At 36.4% G+C, this 19333-nt stretch overlaps 1 protein-coding gene across 46 annotated transcripts in view; it reads left to right on the plus strand.

Moving 5' to 3' along the window:
* Positions 1 to 19333, plus strand: part of CCDC7 (coiled-coil domain containing 7) — a 439541-nt gene that overhangs the window by 217138 nt on the left and 203070 nt on the right. For 40 of the 46 annotated variants that reach the window (XM_047425743.1, XM_047425742.1, NM_001321115.2 and 37 more), the window contains one exon: positions 3593 to 3700. The exons of 5 other annotated variants lie outside the window; for them this stretch is intronic. In XM_047425743.1, coding sequence (XP_047281699.1) covers positions 3593 to 3700 — 108 coding nt within the window. Of the gene's footprint in view, positions 1 to 3592; positions 3701 to 4001; positions 4037 to 19333 lie in introns of those variants that run through there. One more of the 46 variants, XM_011519688.3, reaches the window with a different exon arrangement.

A 19333-nucleotide genomic window follows, 5' to 3' on the forward strand; every position in this document is an offset into this window, starting at 1 on the left:
TTTTTATGGCTGCATAGTATTCCATGGTGTATATGTGCCACATTTTCTTAATCCAGTCTATCATTATTGGACATTTGGGTTGGTTCCAAGTCTTTGCTATTGTGAATAATGCCGCAATAAACATACGTGTGCATGTGTCTTTATAGCAGCATGATTTATAGTCCTTTGGGTATATACCCAGTAATGGGATGGCTGGGTCAAATGGTATTTCCAGTTCTAGATCCCTGATCTTTGACAAACCTGAGAAAAACAAGCAATGGGGAAAGGATTCCCTATTTAATAAATGGTGCTGGGAAAACTGGCTAGCCATATATAGAAAGCTGAAACTGGATCCCTTCCTTACACCTTATACAAAAATCAATTCAAGATGGATTAAAGACTTAAACGTTAGACCTAAAACCATAAAAACCCTAGAAGAAAACCTAGGCATTACCATTCAGGACATAGGCATGGGCAAGGACTTCATGTCTAAAACACCAAAAGCAATGGCAACAAAAGCCAAAATTGACAAATGGGATCTAATTAAACTAAAGAGCTTCTGCACAGCAAAAGAAACTACCATCAGAGTGAACAGGCAACCTACAAAATGGGAGAAAATTTTCACAACCTACTCATCTGACAAAGGGCTAATATCCAGAATCTACAATGAACTCCAACAAATTTACAAGAAAAAAACAACCCCATCAAAAAGTGGGCGAAGGACATGAACAGACACTTCTCAAAAGAAGACATTTATGCAGCCAAAAAACACATGAAAAAATGCTCATCATCACTGGCCATCAGAGAAATGCAAATCAAAACCACAATGAGATACCATCTCACACCAGTTAGAATGGCAATCATTAAAAAGTCAGGAAACAACAGGTGCTGGAGAGGATGTGGAGAAATAGGAACACTTTTACACTGTTGGTGGGACTGTAAACTAGTTCAACCATTGTGGAAGTCAGTGTGGCAATTTTTCCTCTGTTTTTCTTAAGCAGAGGGAGTTTCTTACCATAGCCACCACAGTTGGAAATGTGCTGGGTCTCACCTGAAGCCAGCATATCTCAGAGTCTCACCTGATGCCCATAGCATACTACCGAGATCTTGCTGCTGATTATTCAGGGCCCAAGGGCTCTTTAGTCAGCAGGTGATAGATCTTGCCAGGACTGAATTCTTCTCTTGAAGGTGGCAAGTTCCCTTTTGGCCCAGGATGTGTCTAGAAGTGTCATCCAGGAACTAAGGCCTGGAACGGAGGCCTCAAAATTCTGCCCAGTGCCCTATCCTACTGTGGCTGAGCTGGTATCCAAGATACAAGATGAAATCTTTTTTATTCATCCCTCTCTTCTCCTCAAGAAGAAGGTCTTTTTTGGAGCTGTGAGTTGCACTGCCTGGGTTTGGAGTAGGGGTGGCACAGCACTCCTTTAGCTGTCCTGGCTGGTGTCTCAGTAGATGCCCCCTAAGTCCACTGGCTCTGAATCCGGCTCAGCACTAGGACTTGCCTAGGAGTTGCAGTCCTTGTGGCCTATATTGCCTTTGAAGTTAAGTTCCAGGGAACTTTTAGCCCATGGTGGTAAGGCTTGCCAGAACTCAAGTTCCAACAGCAGGGATATGCAATTCCCTTTTGGCCTCTCTCCATAGGTGGGCATCAGCTGAGTTTAGCTTGATTTTTCTTTCTGCCATGACAGGGTAGCACTGAGTTCAATGCAAAGTCTCACAATCACTGCACTGTTTCTCTCAAAGAGCACAAATAATTTCTCTCTGCACCAGGCGGACACTGCTGAGCAATGGGGGAGGGATGGCATTAGCAATTCAAGACTGTCCTTTCTACCCTCTTCAGTGCCTCTTTCAACAATATGAAGTTAAAACCAGATACTGTGAGTGTTCAGCAGATTTTTGGTTCCTACTAAGGTGCTTTTTCCTGTATAGATAGTTTTAAATTTGTTGTTCCTGCAAGAGGGATAATTGGTGTAACCTTCTATTTGACCATCTTGCTCCACCACTTTGGGTATCCAGGATAGCGCTTTTATTAGCTACAGGAGACCTCACTATTTGGACTGTAGTGGGGCTCTGTGTTGTGCCCCCATGACTATTAAATGATGATAAGCATCTAATGGAGAGCCCCTCAATCTCTTCCTTGAGACCTTATTGTTGAGCAACTAGAGCCATAGATGTCTTTGAGAAGGGACTTAAACAAATGGTCCAGGAGTGAGTGCCCAGTTACATTTTTACATCACTCTGACTGCTAATGAAATACTGGTGTCTTGGCAGTAGGTTCTTTTGTCTGGCATGGAAATTTTTCAGTTAAGATCTGGATTGTGCTGCTAACTATTTCACATCATCAAGTTCAATTGAGCTAGATAACCAATGAGAGTAGCACAAATGAACCTAGGTCTGAGTTTGGTAAATGATCTTATTTGTCTTCTGTTGTTCTTACTCCTTATTGCTGAAGTAAGAGACTATCAGGTAGCTTTCAGGGCACTTTGGAGGTGACTGGAAGAGTGATCAGAAAAGGTTTTTCAGTGGCAGGGAACTCACCACAGTTGGACCAAATTAGTCAGAGGCCGAATAGCAGCCAGCTAAGAAAAGAGAGGTTCTCATATGTATGTAACACTTTCCCCCTACCCACTTCTTCATCCTTCTTGGGCAAAGTGGCCATGGAAGGACATTCTGAATAAGGAGGTCTGCAGTGACACACCTCATAAGTGCCACTGTCCCTAATTAAATCTAACGAGAGTAACTCATTTAAGGTAAAGGTGAACTATTCACATCTCTTCTATGGTCTCTTTTGATTGGTGTGCAATATGATCATGAGGACTCTACATACTTTTTCATCACACATGGAAAAATGAATAAAACATGAAAACATGCATTGTAGACACTCAGTGCTAGGAACATGCTTAGATTTAACAATGGTCATTGGATGCAATTTTGCATGTAGGGTCTATGCAAATTTTGGTCACCAACTACTTTGTTTTCTGGTTTATCTTTCCTGTGTTTCAATTTCTAAAAGTAAGTATCTCTTTACATTTATTTCCTAATGGATAGCATACTTGATATCTTTCTTCTATTTCAATTTTTTCTCACTTAACATTACCTTCTATAAATCCCTCTAAATCAGGTTGTAACAATCTTTTTATTACTTTTAGAGCTTCCTGTACAACTCTTTGTATCATATTAAATATTGTAGTTGATAATACCACAAATTATAATATATACCTTTTTATTAACCAATTTCATATGCTTGTACATTTAAGTGATTTTGAGTATTTTGTAATTAAAAGTATGCTGTAATGAATAAACTTGCACATATGAATTTTCATTGCTTTGCCTATGAATATATATTAATCTAAATTATAAATAATTAAGAACAAGTAGAGGCTAATATAAATATTTGATGCCAAGAAATATCAAAATAATGAGACTACTTCACCTCAGATCCTTTAAAGTTCTTGTCACTATTTTCATGTCAGATCTAGAATTATAGTAATTTACTTATATTTTACATGTATAAAAATGAGACAGAATATGGCTGTATACTTGTTATAAATCTGAAATCTAGAAATTTCACTATAGTTTATGTTTAGTGCACTAAATTTATTAATTTGTGTAGCTCATAATGATGTACCAGAAGAAAATCTTATGCTTGAACAAGACACAAAGTCAAAAACGGAAGTAGAAGTAAAGAAACAAAAATCTTTCCAAGATAATCAACTCAGTAGTAAGTGTAATAATTGTAGATAACCTTAAAATAATTTAAGATTTATTTTTAATTGGCAAGTAAAAATTATATACATTCATCATGTACTACATAGTGTTTTAATATATAAATTGTGGAATAATAAATTGTGGAATTTAAATATAAATTGTGGAAAATAAAATCAAGCTATTTAACATGTATATTACCTTGTTATTTTTTTATATTGAGAAGACTTAAAATTTCTCTTAGCAATTTTGCAATATGTTATTATTAACAGTACTCATGAAGTGCAGTAGATCTCTTAAACGTTTCTCATTTCCAGCTGAAATGTGTGTCCTTTGACCAACATTGCTTCAGTCCTCCCACCATCAGCCTCTTATAACCAACATTTTACTCTCTGTTCCTATGAACTTGACTTTTTAAAACTCCTCATATAGGTAAGATAATGCAGTATTTGTTTTTAGTGACTGGCTTACTTTATTTAACATTATGTTCTCCACATTCATCCATATTATCACAAAAGACAAAATTTACTTCCTTTTTTTAAGGGTGATTTTCGTTATCTATTGATCTGTGGCTGGACACTAAGTTTGATTCCGTATCTTGGTTATTGTGAGTAATGTTACAGTGAACATGGGAGTACAAATATCTCTTTTATATACTGATTTCATATCCTTTGGAGGTACATCCAGAGGTGAAATTGTGGATAATATTGTAGTTCTATTTTTAATTTTTTGAGGAATCCCTGTAGTGTTTTCCATTATGGCTTTACTAATTTACATTCCCACCAACAGTGTACAAGTGTTCCCTTCTCTTCACATCTTTGCCAGCACTTCTCTTCCATCTTTTTGATAATAGTTACTTTAGTGTGTGGGAAGTGATATTTCATTGTGGTTTTAATTTGCATGTCCCTGATGATTAGTGATGTTGAACACTTGTTCATATACCTGTTGGCTATTTGCATGTCTTCATTAGAGAAATGTCTATTCAGATCCCATACTCATCTTTTATTTGCGTTGATTGTTTTCTAACTATTGAGTTGTTTGAGCTGCTTCTATAAATTGGATCTTAACTGCTTATCAGATTTATGATTTGGAAATACTTTCTCTCATGCAATAGGCTATTTATTCCTACTGTTGATTGTTTGCTTTGCTGTGCAGAGCTTTTTAGTTTGGTTTAATACCATTTACTTATTTTTGCTTTTATTACCTTGCTTTTGGGGTCATATTAAAAAAATCTTTGCCCAGATCAACATAATTGAGTGTTTCCCATATTTTCTTCTAGCAATTCTAGTTTCAGATCCTAAATTTATGTGTCCTTAATCCAATTTGAGTTGATTTTTGTATATAGTGTGAGATGAAGGTATAATTTTATTCTTCTGCATGTGGATATCTAGTTTTTCAACACCATTGTATATTTTATTCCAGTGATCTACATGTCTGTTTTTGTACCAGTACCATGCTGTCTTGTTTGCTGTAGCTAAATAATATGTTTTAAAATTAGGATGTACAGTGCCTCCAGCTTTGTTTTTCTTGCTCAAGATTGCTTTGGCTATTCAGCGTCTTTTATGGTTACATATGAATTTTTGGATTTTTTCTATTTCTGTCAAAAAATGTTGCTGGGATTTTGATAGGGATTAAATTCATAACTGATGGGCATTTTAACAATATTAATTCTTCCAATCCAGGAACATGGGATATCTTTTTATTTATTTGTGCTTTCTTAAACTTCTTTTACTAATGTTTTATAGTTTTCATTGTAGAACTTTTTTTCCTCCTTGTTTAAATTTATTCCTAGGAACTTAATTTTTTGTAGATATTGTAAATGAGATTACTTTTTGACTTCTTTTTCAGACAGTTCATTGTTAGAGTATAGGAACACTACTAATGTTTGTGTGTTGACTTTCTACCCTGAAAATTTTATGAATTTAATCATTTGGTCTAATAGTTTTTTGGTGGAGTCTTTAGAGTATTCTTTTTCTTTTTTTTTTTTTTTTCATTGACAAAGAAGTTTCACCGGTGTTATTTAGTCCTTGTGGTAGTCCTTTGGAATAAGCAATGTTATTCCCTTTGATTTACACTGAGACCTAAAGATGATGAAGAGAAGGTAGATTACAAAGATAATAATATAAATAGCTATCATTTACTGAATTACTAATAAATACCAGGTACGGCAGTAGGAAGAACATAATATTTTTCTAACATACACAATAATCCTGCAAGGTTGGACTTAGTATTTCTTTTGTTTTTTTTATACTTTACGTTCTAGGGTACATGTACACAACGTGCAGGTTTGTTACATATATATACATGTGCCGTGTTGGTGTGCTGCACCCATTAACTTGTCATTTACATTAGGTATAACTTCTAATGCTATCGGTCCCCCCTCCCCCCACCCCATGATAGGCCCCAGTGTGTGATGTTCCCCTTCCTGTGTCCAAGTGTTCTCATTGTTCAATTCCTACCTATGAGTGAGAACATGTAGTGTTTGGTTTTTTGTCCTTGCGATAGTTTGCTGAGAATGATGGTTTCCAGCTTCATCCATGTCCTACAAAGGACATGAACTCATCCTTTTTTATGGTTGCGTATTATTCCATGGTGTATATGTGCCACATTTTCTTAATTCAGTCTATCATTGTTGGACATTTGGGTTGGTTCCAAGTCTTTGCTATTGTGAATAGTGCCACAATAAACATACGTGTGCATGTGTCTTTATAGCAGCATGATTTATAATCCTTTGGGTATATACCCAGTAATGGGATGGCTGGGTCAAATGGTATTTCTAGTTCTAGATCCTTGAAGAATTGCCACACTGCCTTCCACAATGGTTGAACTAGTTTACAGTCCCACCAACAGTGTAAAAGCGTTCCTATTTCTCCACATCCTCTCCAGCACCTGTTGTTTCCTGACTTTTTAATGATCACCATTCTAACTGGTGTGAGATGGTATCTCATTGTGGTTTTGATTTGCATTTCTCTGATGGCCAGTGATGATGAGCATTTTGTCATGTGGCTGCATAAATGTCTTCTTTTGAGAAGTGTCTGTTCATATCCTTTGCCCACTTTTTGATAGGTTTGTTTGATTTTTTCTTGTAAATTTGTTTAAGTTCTTTGTAGATTTTGGATATTAGCCCTTTGTCAGATGAGTAGATTGCAAAAATTATCTCCCATTCTGTAGGCTGCCTGTTCACTCTGATGGTAGTTTCTTTTGCTGTGCAGAAACTCTTCAGTTTAATTAGATCCCATTTGTCAATTTTGGCTTTTGTTGCCATTGCTTTTGGTGTTTTAGACATGAAGTCTTTACCCATGCCTATGTCCTGAATGGTATCGCCTAGATTTTCTTCTAGGGTTTTTATGGTTTCAGGTCTAACATTTAAGTCTTTAATCCACGTGAATTAATTTTTGTATAAGGTGTAAGGAAGGGATCCAGTTTCAGCTTTCTACATATGGCTAGCCAGTTTTCCCAGCACCATTTATTAAATAGGGAATCCTTTCCCCATTTCTTGTTTTTCTCAGGTTTGTCAAAGATCAGATGGTTGTAGATGTGTGGTATTATTTCTGAGGGCTCTGTTCTGTCCCATTGGTCCATATCTCTGTTTTGGTACCAGCACCATGCTCTTTTGGTTACTGCAGCCTTGTAGTATAGTTTGAAGTCAGGTAGCGTGATGCCTCCAGCTTTGTTCTTTTGGCTTAGGATTGACTTGGCAATGCAGGCTCTTTTTTGGTTCCATATGAACTTTAAAGTAGTTTTTTCCAATCCTGTGAAGAAAGTCACTGGTAGCTTGATGGGGATGGCATTGAATCTATAAATTACCTTGGGCAGTATGGCCATTTTCACGATATTGATTCTTCCTGCCCATGAGTATGGGATGTTCTTCCATTTGTTTGTATCCTCTTTTATTTCATTGAGCAGTGGTTTGTAGTTCTCCTTGAAGAGGTCCTTCACGTCCCTTGTAAGTTGGATTCCCAGGTGTTTTATTCTCTTTGAAGCAATTGTGAATGGGAGTTCACTCATAATTTGGCTCTCTGTTTGTCTGTTATTGGTGTATAAGAATGCTTGTGATTTTTGCACATTGATTTTGTATCCTGAGACTTTGCTGAAGTTGCCTATCAGCTTAAGGAGATTTTGGGCAGAGATGATGGGGTTTTCTAGATATACAATCATGTCATCTGCAAACAGGAACAATTTGACTTCCTCTTTTCCTAATTGAATACCCTTTATTTCTTTCTCCTGCCTGATTGCCCTGGCCAGAACTTCCAACACTATGTTGGATAGGAGTGGTGAGAGAGGGCATCCCTGTCTTGTGCCAGTTTTCAAAGGGAATGCTTCCAGTTTTTGCCCATTCAGTATGATATTGGCTGTGGATTTGTCATAGATAGCTCTTATTATTTTGAGATATGTCCCATCAATACCTAATTTATTGAGAATTTTTTAGCATGAAGGGCTGTTGAATTTTGTCAAAGGCCTTTTCTGCATCTATTGAGATAATCATGTGGTTTTTGTCTTTGGTTCTGTTTATATGCTGGATTACATTTATTGATTTGTGTATGTTGAACCAGCCTTGCATCCCAGGGATGAAGCCCACTTGATCATGGTGGATAAGCTTCCTGATGTGCTGCTGGAATCGGTTTGACAGTATTTTATTGAGAATTTTTGCATCAATGTTCGTCAGAGTTTTCTATATATTGGTTTATGTTATCTGACCAAGATAATTTTACTTCCCCCATCCAATTTGAATGCCTTCTGTTTCTTTTTCTTTCATAATTTATTTGCCTGGGGCTGCCAGTGTTCTGTAGAATAGAAGTGGTAAGAATAAGCATCCTTGTCTTGTTTCTTATCTTAGAAGAAACGCTCTCAACTTACTACCATTAAGTATAATGTTAGCTGTGGCTTGTTTGTTGTATATGGCTTTTATTGTGGTGAGGTACAATCCTCCTATACCTAACTGGTTTAAAATTTTTATTTTGAAATGATTTGGAATTTTACTGGATGTTTTTTCTGCATCTATTGAGATTATCATGTGGTTTTTGTCCTTCATTCTGTTAATGTGATGTATCACATTTATTGCTTTATGTTGAACCATCCTTGCACCCAGGAGATAAACCACACTTGATCATGGTGAATTCTTCTTTGAATGTGCTGTCGAATTTAGTTTGTTAGTATTTTGTTGAGGTTTTGCATGATCATCAGAGATATTGGCCTTTGTCTTTTCTTGTAGTGTCCTTGTCTGGCTTTGGTATCAGTAATGCTGGCCTCCTAAAATGAGTTTGGAAGTGATCTCTCTTCTTCTATTTTTTTGAAACATTTGAGGGGCATTAGCATTAATTCTTCTTAAAACATTGGGTAGAATTTAGTAGTGTATCCATGAGGTCTTAGCTTTTCTTTAATAGAATAGTTTATATTAGTGATTTAATCACCTTACTCATTATTAGTTTATTCATATTTCTCTTCTTCATGATTTAGTCATGGTAGGTTGCATGTGTCTAGGAATTATTCATTTCTTCACGGTTATTGAAATTGGTGCCATATAGTTATTCATAGTAGTCTCTCATGATCTTTTGTATCTCTGTGTCATCAGTTGTGACAGTTCTTCTTTTATTCCTGGTTTTGAGTCTTTTCTCTTTGTTAGTTTCATTAAAGATTCATTGATTTTGTCTTTTCTTTTTTTGTTGTTGTTGTTGTCCATAATTCTAATTTATTAACTCATCATTTTAAATATTTAACTTTCAGGGACAGTAGAATGTTTGTATTGTTATACGTGAATTCTCTTTCTTCTCAGTAAAATTACATAAAAGGACAAATTATAATCAGACGTTTGCTTGGTGAGCATGGAGTCAATCCAGGGAGAATGAATTGGATGATCAAATGTCTATTACATCCATCTTCGCTTGGGGCACGTTTGTAAGAGGGATTGGATACTTATTTCTGGGGTCGGGACATGTCCTTTCCTGGGTTGTCCTGGGTTCTTTCCTCTTAGAGACCCTTTACTGTCTTCCCTCTGGATCATTCCCTTTTCGTTAATATATTCTTTCTTTATAATGAAGACAATGCAATTTATTTGATTATATGTTTTAATAGTCCTTGTCTGTTGAGGCTGTGTCTTAATGAATACAATCCAAACATTACCGAACTCCCCAGTCAACAGTTCATAGGATTTTTTAAGGGTAGATGATTTCGTTGTTTTTTATAGAAAACCATTCTAAGTTGCTTCCTGTTGATTTCCTATACTTTTATTTACTTTCTTTTTTTTTTAAATTTATTATTATTATACTTTAAGTTTTAGGGTACATGTGCACAATGTGCAGGTTAGTTACATATGTATACATGTGCCATGCTGGTGCGCTGCACCCACTAACTCGTCATCTAGCATTAGGTATATCTCCCAGTGCTATCCCTCCCCCCTCCCCCCACCCCACAACAGTCCCCAGAGTGTGATGTTCCCCTTCCTGTGTCCATGTGTTCTCATTGTTCAATTCCCACCTATGAGTGAGAATATGCGGTGTCTGGTTTTTTGTTCTTGCGATAGTTTACTGAGAATGATGATTTCCAATTTCATCCATGTCCCTACAAAGGACGTGAACTCATCATTTCAAAATACCAACTCTTAGTTTTGTTGATCTTTTCTATTGTTTTTTTCTCCCTTCTATTGTTTTTCTAGTATCTATTTTGTTTATTTCTTCCATGAGCTTTATTATTTTCTTCCTTCTATAAACTTTGGGTTTAGTTTGTTCTATTTTCCTTAGTTCCTTGTGGTGTAACATTAGGTTGTTTATTTGGGATCTTTTATTTAATGTGGGCTTTTAGTTCTATAAATGGTACAATTGTACAGTGTGTTTGTGTTTTAAGCTGTGTCATTACAAAAGAGTAAAAAAGTAAAAAACATTAAAAGTTTATTAAATAAAAAGTTACAGTAAACTCAGGTTAATTTATTATTGAATAAAGAAAATTCATTCAAAATTTAGTGTAACCCAAGTGTACAGTGTTTATTAAGTCTACAGTAGTGCACAGTAATGTCCTAGGCCTTGACATTCACCACTCACTTACTCACTCACTCAGAGTAACTCTTAGTTCTGCAAGCTACCTTGATGGTAAGTATTCTATACAGGTATATCAGTTTTAAAACCTTTATACCATATTTGTGCTATGTTTTTCTAATTTTCCTGTTTAGATATACAAATATTTACCATTTTATTCAAATTGAATACAGTATTTAGTATAGTAACATACTGTACAGCTTTATAGCATAGGAGCAGTAGACTATATCATATAACTTAGGTGTGTAGTAGGCTATACCATGTAGGTTTATGCAATGATAAAATTGCCTAATGACACGTTTCAAGACATATCCCTGTCATTAAGTGACACACATAACTATTTTTTCTAACTTGTCTGATCCTCCTAAAAAATGTTTTGAATTTTTTATGAGGCAGTTCTTATATCTGCATTTCTTTGGGATCAGCTTCAGGAGATTATTGTGGTGTTTTGGTCATGTCGTATCTTTAGTTTTTCATGTTTCTTGTTGCTTTACATTGATGTCTGCAAATCTGGTGCAGCAGTCACCTCTTGTAGCCTCTTCTGACTAGTTTAGCTGTTGAAAGACCTTCTCCTACAGGGGTGTGAGGGCGCTTGCTGGGTGGGCTGCTGCAGTTCTGGCACTCATGAGATTGAGAGTTGTGTCACCTTTGTGTAGCTCTGGGAACTGAGGTTGGTGATGACAAAGATTTCGAGGATCCTCAGCAGCCAATGCTGTGAATGTTTGCAATTGTGGCAAAGGTTATTGGGGTCTTCAGTGGCAATGACTATTAAAGTTCTTCTGATTTCTTTTTCTCTCAGTGAGGAAGTTTTGCTGATAAAATCCCTCTTGGTTCCGGGTCTGACTTGTCAGCTTGCTTGCATTGGTAGTGGCATGAGTATTTGATTAGTGGTGCCAATGGAGTGGCTGCAGAACTGAGATGTGAAGCACAGGAATGTGTGGAGGGAGCATGGTTCTGGGACCCAGGGCAGTAACAGCACTTATGCCCAGGGCACATGCACCTCTGCTGCCACCTTGGTAACAGAATCAAGGTGCAGATTCCTGTGAAATAGCTGGGCAGCTAAGAATGAGAATATTGATATCCACACAGTTTGAGCTGCTCTGGAGTTGGGGCACAGTCCAGCTCTCTATGATGGCTAAACCAGTGTCTGGAGCATGGGCACACACAGTGAACGTGTGGCTCTGGGATTTGGAATGCAAACTACCTTGCTGTGACAACGATTCCCAATGTCTGAGGTGTGGGTGGGTTCAATGTAGACACAAAACCCAGGTCTGGAATGTGGTTACTTGCAGAGTGGCTATGTTTTGGGTCAGGGCACACATGGGGTTAGAGGAGGTGGTGACTTCTTTCCCAGTAGTGGCTTAACAGTGCTGATTCTTGTTTGGAGGAGGAGTGTACAGACACATCACCCTTTCTGGGGTTTCCTGGTGGGGATGGCTCTTGGTTACCTCAGTAGAAAGAAATGGCAGTGTCCTGGGTGGATCAGGCCGTTGGGAACCATGGTGGTTCCAGCAGCATGGCTGATGCCCATAGCCTCCACCTTTCTTCTTTGCTCCTAGCTATCTCCTGGTGTCTAAGATATGCTGACCTCACCAGAGATCCTTTCTACTTGGACATTGTGCTCCACTGTGTTGCTACAGTTTCATTAATGTGCCCATGACACCTCTCTGGGCTATTGTAGTTTGTGAAAGGTGTCTATATTTGTTTCATAGCAGGAGGGATGAAGGTTGCTATCTCCTCTGCCATCTTGGTGCTTTCCTACCTTATTTATTTTTTAAACCACTTTACTAAGGTTGATTTTTTTGTGTATAGTGTAAGAGTTTAATTTCATTCTTTTCCATGTGGATACTCTGTTTCCCCAATGCTATTGAGGAGACTATGCTTTCCCTTTTGTGTATTCTTACCACCCTTGCAGAAGATAAGTTCACAATATGTGCATAGGGATTAATTCTGGACTCCCTGTTACATTGGTGTATATGTCTTTTATGGCAGTACATATTTTTGACTTACTATAATATAAGCTTTGTAATGTGTTTTAAAATCAGGAAGTATGATGCCTCCAGTTTTTTTTTCTTGCTCCAGATTGCTTTGACTATTTGGGTTTTTTGGTTCCATATGAATTTTAGAATTGTTATTTCAATTTCTGTAAAAGTGTGCCATTGGTATTTTGATAGGAATTGTACATCACTTTGGGTAGTATGGGCATTGTAACAATATTAATTTTTCCATTTTGAACAAAAGATGTCTTTCCATTTTAATTTCTTTCAGCAATATATTATCGTTTTCAGTGTACAAGCCTTTTGCCTTTCGAATAAGTGTATTGCTAGTATTTTTTCCTTTTTGATGTGATTGTAAGTAGGATTGATTTTGAATTCCTTTTTGGATAGTTCGTTGTTAGTATATTAAAACAAAACCAATTTGTGTATGTTAATTTTATATTCTGTACCTTTACTGAATTTATTAGTTCTAACCATTGTGCACGTGTGTGTGTGTGTGTGTGTGTGTGTGTGTGTGTAGTTTAGGGTTTTCTACATTAAAAAATCAATAACAAATAGTGAGACTGAACCAGTAACCAGAATCTCTGAACATGAAAACCATGAATCAGTCTTATTATTTACTATTGACCTTTTCAAGTTTTCCATTTTTTCTTGATTCAGTCTTGGTAGGTTATTGGTAGGTTCTAGGAATTTAACAATTTCTTCTTTGTTGTCCAGTTTGTTGGTCCATAAATTGTTCATAATAGTCATTTGTGATCTTTTCTCATTTCCATGGCATCAGTTGTAGTGTCTCCTCTTTCATCTAGTTTTATTTATTTGAGTCTTCTCTTTTTAATAATTAATCTAGCTAATAGTGTGTCAATTTTCTTTATCTTTTCAAAAACCGAACTCACATTTTCATCAATTTTTTCTATATTTTTTTCCTATTTTATTTATTTCTGTTCTAATTTTGTTTTTTTTTCTGTGAACTTTGGCTTTAGTTTCTTATTTTTCTTTTTCCTTGAAGTGTAAAGTTAGGTTGTTCATTTGAAATATTTTTTATAGTGATTATCAACTTTCCTTATGGTACTGCTTTTGCTGCATCCTGCTGTAAGTTTTGGTATATTTTAGTTTTGTGGATTTTTTAAAATCTCAAGATAGTTTCTAATTTCCCTTTTGATTTCTTCCTTGATCCAGTGGTTGTTCAAAATTTGTTGTTTAATTTTCATGTATTTGTGATTTTTTTCCATTTTTCTTTCATTACTGATTTCTAGTTTCATACCATTGTGACTGGAAAATAATCTTGTAATGGTTTTAATTTTCTTAAATGTTTAAGACTTGTTTTGTGATATAGCATGTGATTTATCCTGTAAATATCTCAGTGTGTAGGAGAATTGTGTGTATTCCGCTGCTTTTGGATGGAATGTTCTTTAAATGGCTGTTAGGTCCATTTGGTCTACAGTGTTGTTCAGATCTGTTGTTTATTGATTTTCTGTTTGGATGATCTATCCATTTTTGAAAGTGGAGTATTGAAGTCTCTCTCTTCATACCTATTATTACTTTTCTTATGTATTTATGTGCTCTGACGTTGGACACAGGTATATTTATCATTGTTATATACATATATATATTTTTGAGATGGAGTCTTGCTCTGTCGCCCATTTTAATGGTGAATTGACCCTTTTATTTTTGTGTGGTGACCTTTTTTTTGTCTCTTGACATCTTAGTTATCTAAGTACAGCCACTTCTGCTCTCTTTTTGATACCGTTTGCATGGGATATCTTTTCCTCTCCTTCTCTTTTAGTGTTTAAGCCCGTCACTTTTAGTTCAGTTTGTCCTTAACTCTAAAGCAAGTCTCTTGCAAATAGCATATAGTGGATCTTGCTTTTCTCATCCTTTCAGCTTCTCTGTATCTTTTGAATGTTAACTTTAACCTATTTATATTTAAAATTATTATTGCTAGGTGAAGACTTACTATTGCAATTATATTGTTTTCTCTCTGTTTTATAGCTGTGCCCTATCTTCCTCTCTTTCTGCTTTACTTTGTGATTTGATTACTTTTTATAATGATATACTTTATTTCCTTTTCATCTTTTTTGTGTCTGATACAGGTTTTTCTTTACGATTACCATGAGGTTTGATTACCATAAAGTTAAAATTACAGTTACGATTACCATAAAGTTAAAATGGTCTATTTTAAATTGTTATCTATTTTAAATTGTTAACAACTTAACTTCAATTGTATACAAAAATTTTACATTTTTATTCCACCCCCATTTTAGGTTATTGATGTCAAAAATTACTTTATATTCTGTATCCATTAACCAATTTTTGTGATTATAGTTATCCTTAATACTTTTGCTTTTAACTTTTATACTAGAGTTAAAATGATTCATGTACCACTATTACAGTATTACATTATTTTCTGATTATCAATATGTTTACTTGCTAGTGATATTTATACTTTCATATACTTTGGTGTTACTGTTGAGCATCCTTTCATTTCAACTTTAAGAATTCCCTTTATCGGACGTGAAGGACCTCTTCAAGGAGAACTACAAACCACTGCTCAATGAAATAAAAGAGGATACAAAGAAATGGAAGAACATTCCATGCTCATGGGAAGGAAGAATCAATATCGTGAAAATGGCCATACTGCCCAAGGTAATTTATAGATTTAATGCCATCCCCATCCAGCTACCAATGACTTTCTTCACAGAATTGGAAAAAACTACTTTAAAGTTCATATGGAACCAAAAAAGAGCCCGCATCACCAAGTCAATCCTAAGCCAAAAGAACAGAGCTGGAGGCATCACGCTACCTGACTTCCAACTATACTACAAGGCTACAGTAACCAAAAGAGCATGGTACTGGTACCAAAACAGAGATATAGATCAATGGAACAGAACAGAGCCCTCAGAAATAACGCCACATATCTACAACTACCTGATCTTTGTCAAACCTGAGAAAAACAAGCAATGGGGAAAGGATTCCCTGTTTAATAAATGGTGCTGGGAAAACTGGCTAGCCATATGTAGAATCCCTTCCTTACACCTTATACAAAATTAATTCACGTGGATTAAAGACTTAAATGTTAGACCTAAAACCATAAAAACCCTAGAAGAAAACCTAGGCAATACCATTCAGGACATAGGCATGGGCACGGACTTCATGTCTAAAACACCAAAAGCAATGGCAACAAAGCCAAAATTGACAAATGGGATCTAATTAAACTGAAGAGCTTCTGTACAGCAAAAGAAACTACCATCAGAGTGAACAGGCAACCTACAAAATGGGAGAAAATTTTCGCAACCTACTCATCTGACAAAGGGCTAATATCCAGAATCTACAATGAACTCAAACAAATTTACAAGAAAAAAACAAACAACCCCATCAAAATGTGGGCGAAGGACATGAGCAAACACTTCTCAAAAGAAGACATTTATGCAGCCAAAAAACACATGAAAAAATGCTCACCATCACTGGCCATCAGAGAAATGCAAATCAAAACCACAATGAGATACCATCTCACACCAGTTAGAATGGCAATCATTAAAAAGTCAGGAAACAACAGGTGCTGGAGAGGATGTGGAGAAATAGGAACACTTTTACACTGTTGGTGGGACTGTAAACTAGTTCACCCATTGTGGAAGGCAGTGTGGCGATTCCTCAGGGATCTAGAACTAGAAATACCATTTGACCTAGCCATCCCATTACTGGGTATATACCCAAAGGTCTGTAAATCATGCTGCTATAAAGACACATGCACACATATATTTATTGCGGCACTATTCACAATACAAAGACTTGGAACCAACCCAAATGTCCAACAACGATAGACTGGATTAAGAAAATGTGGCACATACCATGGAATACTATGCAGCCATAAAAAATGATGAGTTCATGTCCTTTGTAGGGACATGGATGAAATTGGAAATCATCATTCTCAGTAAACTATTGCAAGGACAAAAAACCAAACACCGCATGTTCTCACTCATAGGTGGGAATTGAACAATGAGAACACATGGACACAGGAAGGGGAACATCACACTCTGGGGACTGTTGTGGGGTGGGGGGAGGGGGGAAGGATAGCATTAGGAGATATACCTAATGCTAAATGACGAGTTAATGGGTGCAGCACACCAGCATGGCACATGTATACATATGTAACTAACCTGCACATTGTGCACATGTATCCTAAAACTTAAAGTATAATAATAATAAAAAAAAAGAATTCCCTTTATCACTCCTTGTAAGGCTGGTCTAGTGTTGATTAACTCCCTAAATTTTTGTTTGTCTGGAAAAGTATCTATGCTTAACTTTTAAAGCACAATTTTTCTGGGTGTAGTATTCTTGGTTGACATTTATTTCATTCAGTACTTTGAATATATTATTTCATTCTCTTCTGGCCTGCAGGGTTTGTGCTGAAAAGCTTATTGATAGTTTTATGGGTTTATCTTGTATGTGATGTCATTTTTTTCTTTCCATTTTCAAAATTTTCTTTGAGTTTTGACAATTTAATGTGTCTCAGTGTAAATTTCTTAAGATTCAACCTATTTAGGATCCTTTGTGTTTCGTGTATCTGGAAGTCCATTTTCCTCCTCAGATTTGAAAAAACTGTATTCATTATTTCTTTAAATAAGCCTTCTGCCATTTTCCCTCTCTTTCTTCTTGGACTTCCATATGCATATATTGGTTCACATGATGGTATCCCATACATCTTATAGGATTTCTTCACTCTTTTTCATTATTTTTATTTTTGTTTCTCATAATAAGAAATTTCAAAGGACCTGTCTTAGAGTTTGTTGCTTTGCTATTTTCTTCTGCTTGATAAAGTCTGCTTTTGAGGCTATCTATGAAATTTTTCAGTTTATCCATTGTGTTCCTCTGTTCCAGACTTTCTGTTGGTTTACATTTTTATGGTTGGTAAGTCTTTGTTGAATCTCTCATTTTTTGTTCATGTGTTGTTTCCCTAATTTTATTTGGTTGTCTAGCTGTATTCTATTTTAGTTCACTGAGCTTGTTTAAGGCCATTATTTTTATGTCTTTTTCAGGGAGGTCATAGATCTGCATTTTTAAGAATCTCTTATTTGAGCTATATTTTGTTATTTGAGTTATCACCTGTGCATCAACAGAGCATCCCGTGGGGTTGTATTGCCCTGATTCTTCATGATCCTTGTATTTTCATTGATGTACGTGCATTTAAAGAAGCATCTTTACATGCTAGCTTTGGCCCTTCACTAGACAGCCCAGCCAGAGTTTGTGTGGGTCCATTAGCAGGGTTCATGGGCAGGTCAGCTGTCAGGGTCCACAGGAGTGTTGGCTCTCAGGGTTTGTGGGCAAGCCTACTGCTGTGATTTGTGTGTCAGCTATTGGATCCATACTGTTTCTTGAGAGCTTCTGACCACCCCTCTTCCTGCCTCTTTTTTTTGGTTTTTAGCTACCTTCAGGTGATCTAGCCATGCTGATTCCCTGAGTGTTTTGATTGTGGTGCAGTATAAGTAGGCCTCTCAGGTTATACCATAACAGGCTGGGAAAAGTCCAATGCTCACTTTATTCCCCACGGGAAAACTGAAAAGCCCAGGAGATCTCTCTTGGCACTGTGCTGTGACAGCTTGGGGAAGGTGTGACATGAGTAGAGATGAAACTGTTCTTATTATCCTTTAATTGCACTTTTGCCTTGTTTCTGTGTTCCACTGCTGTGCTGTAGCCTCTCATTTGAATTCCAGAGGTCTCATAAAGGTAATTTTATCCTTGTCTGGTTGTTAAGTCTTCATTTTTGTGGAAGAAAGAGGGCTGGGCCTCCTATTCCATGATCTTACTTACATCAATCCCCCTATTTTAATTTATTTTAAGTTCAACTTATCAGAAATTTTTTTTGATTCATGAATATGTATTTGGGCATATGTTTCATAGAAATTTTTAACTTTGACCTAAAGCATGTATACTCTAAGATAATTAGAAAATAAAAGTATTGATAACTTTTGGTTGGAATTTCTTGTCTTGAGACTATTTCACAAGCATGGGTTGTGTGCTCAGAATTCACCAAAGCCCAATAAAAGGCCAATAATTGTCTCTTAAAGGGTATATACTTTTCAGGTATTTCTGAAAATGACAGGTTCAAAAGCCCAATAGATTCCTCTGACCTGTGGCAGTGTCCTTCTGCCATAACCTCCAATTGGCAAACAGAAGACCTCTTACTCAAACAGTAAATGGATATCAGAGTGGCCCAGGGGTAGTGCTGTTTGGGTTGCTTGTTGGAGGACCTCCAGGCCATCCTCCTGATTGTGGCACATATAAAGGAAACAACTTTCTTGTAACCCCATAGTTGGATGGCATTAAGATTGCCACATGGGCAATACAAGAGTGTAAGTAGTCGAATAGTCTCATTAATCTTCTTTTTAATTGTTTGATCAGAGAGAGCCAGAGCCAGTATTATCACATGGAATAAGACAACATTCCCCTTACAGATAATGCTCAGGAATTACACTTGGGTACTAGGTACTTGTACTTTGTAATAATGCTTTAGAGAATTATCATCTGTGCATCAACAGAGCATCCAGTCCTATTTGGGGGGTTGCATGTTTGGGATGGTGTCATGAATGGATTAGAAGGCTAGTCCTTCCTCTGGTAGTGAGACATTTT

This window comes from Homo sapiens, chromosome 10 (assembly GCF_000001405.40).
Source record: "Homo sapiens chromosome 10, GRCh38.p14 Primary Assembly".
NCBI classification, from domain to species: Eukaryota; Metazoa; Chordata; class Mammalia; order Primates; family Hominidae; genus Homo; species Homo sapiens.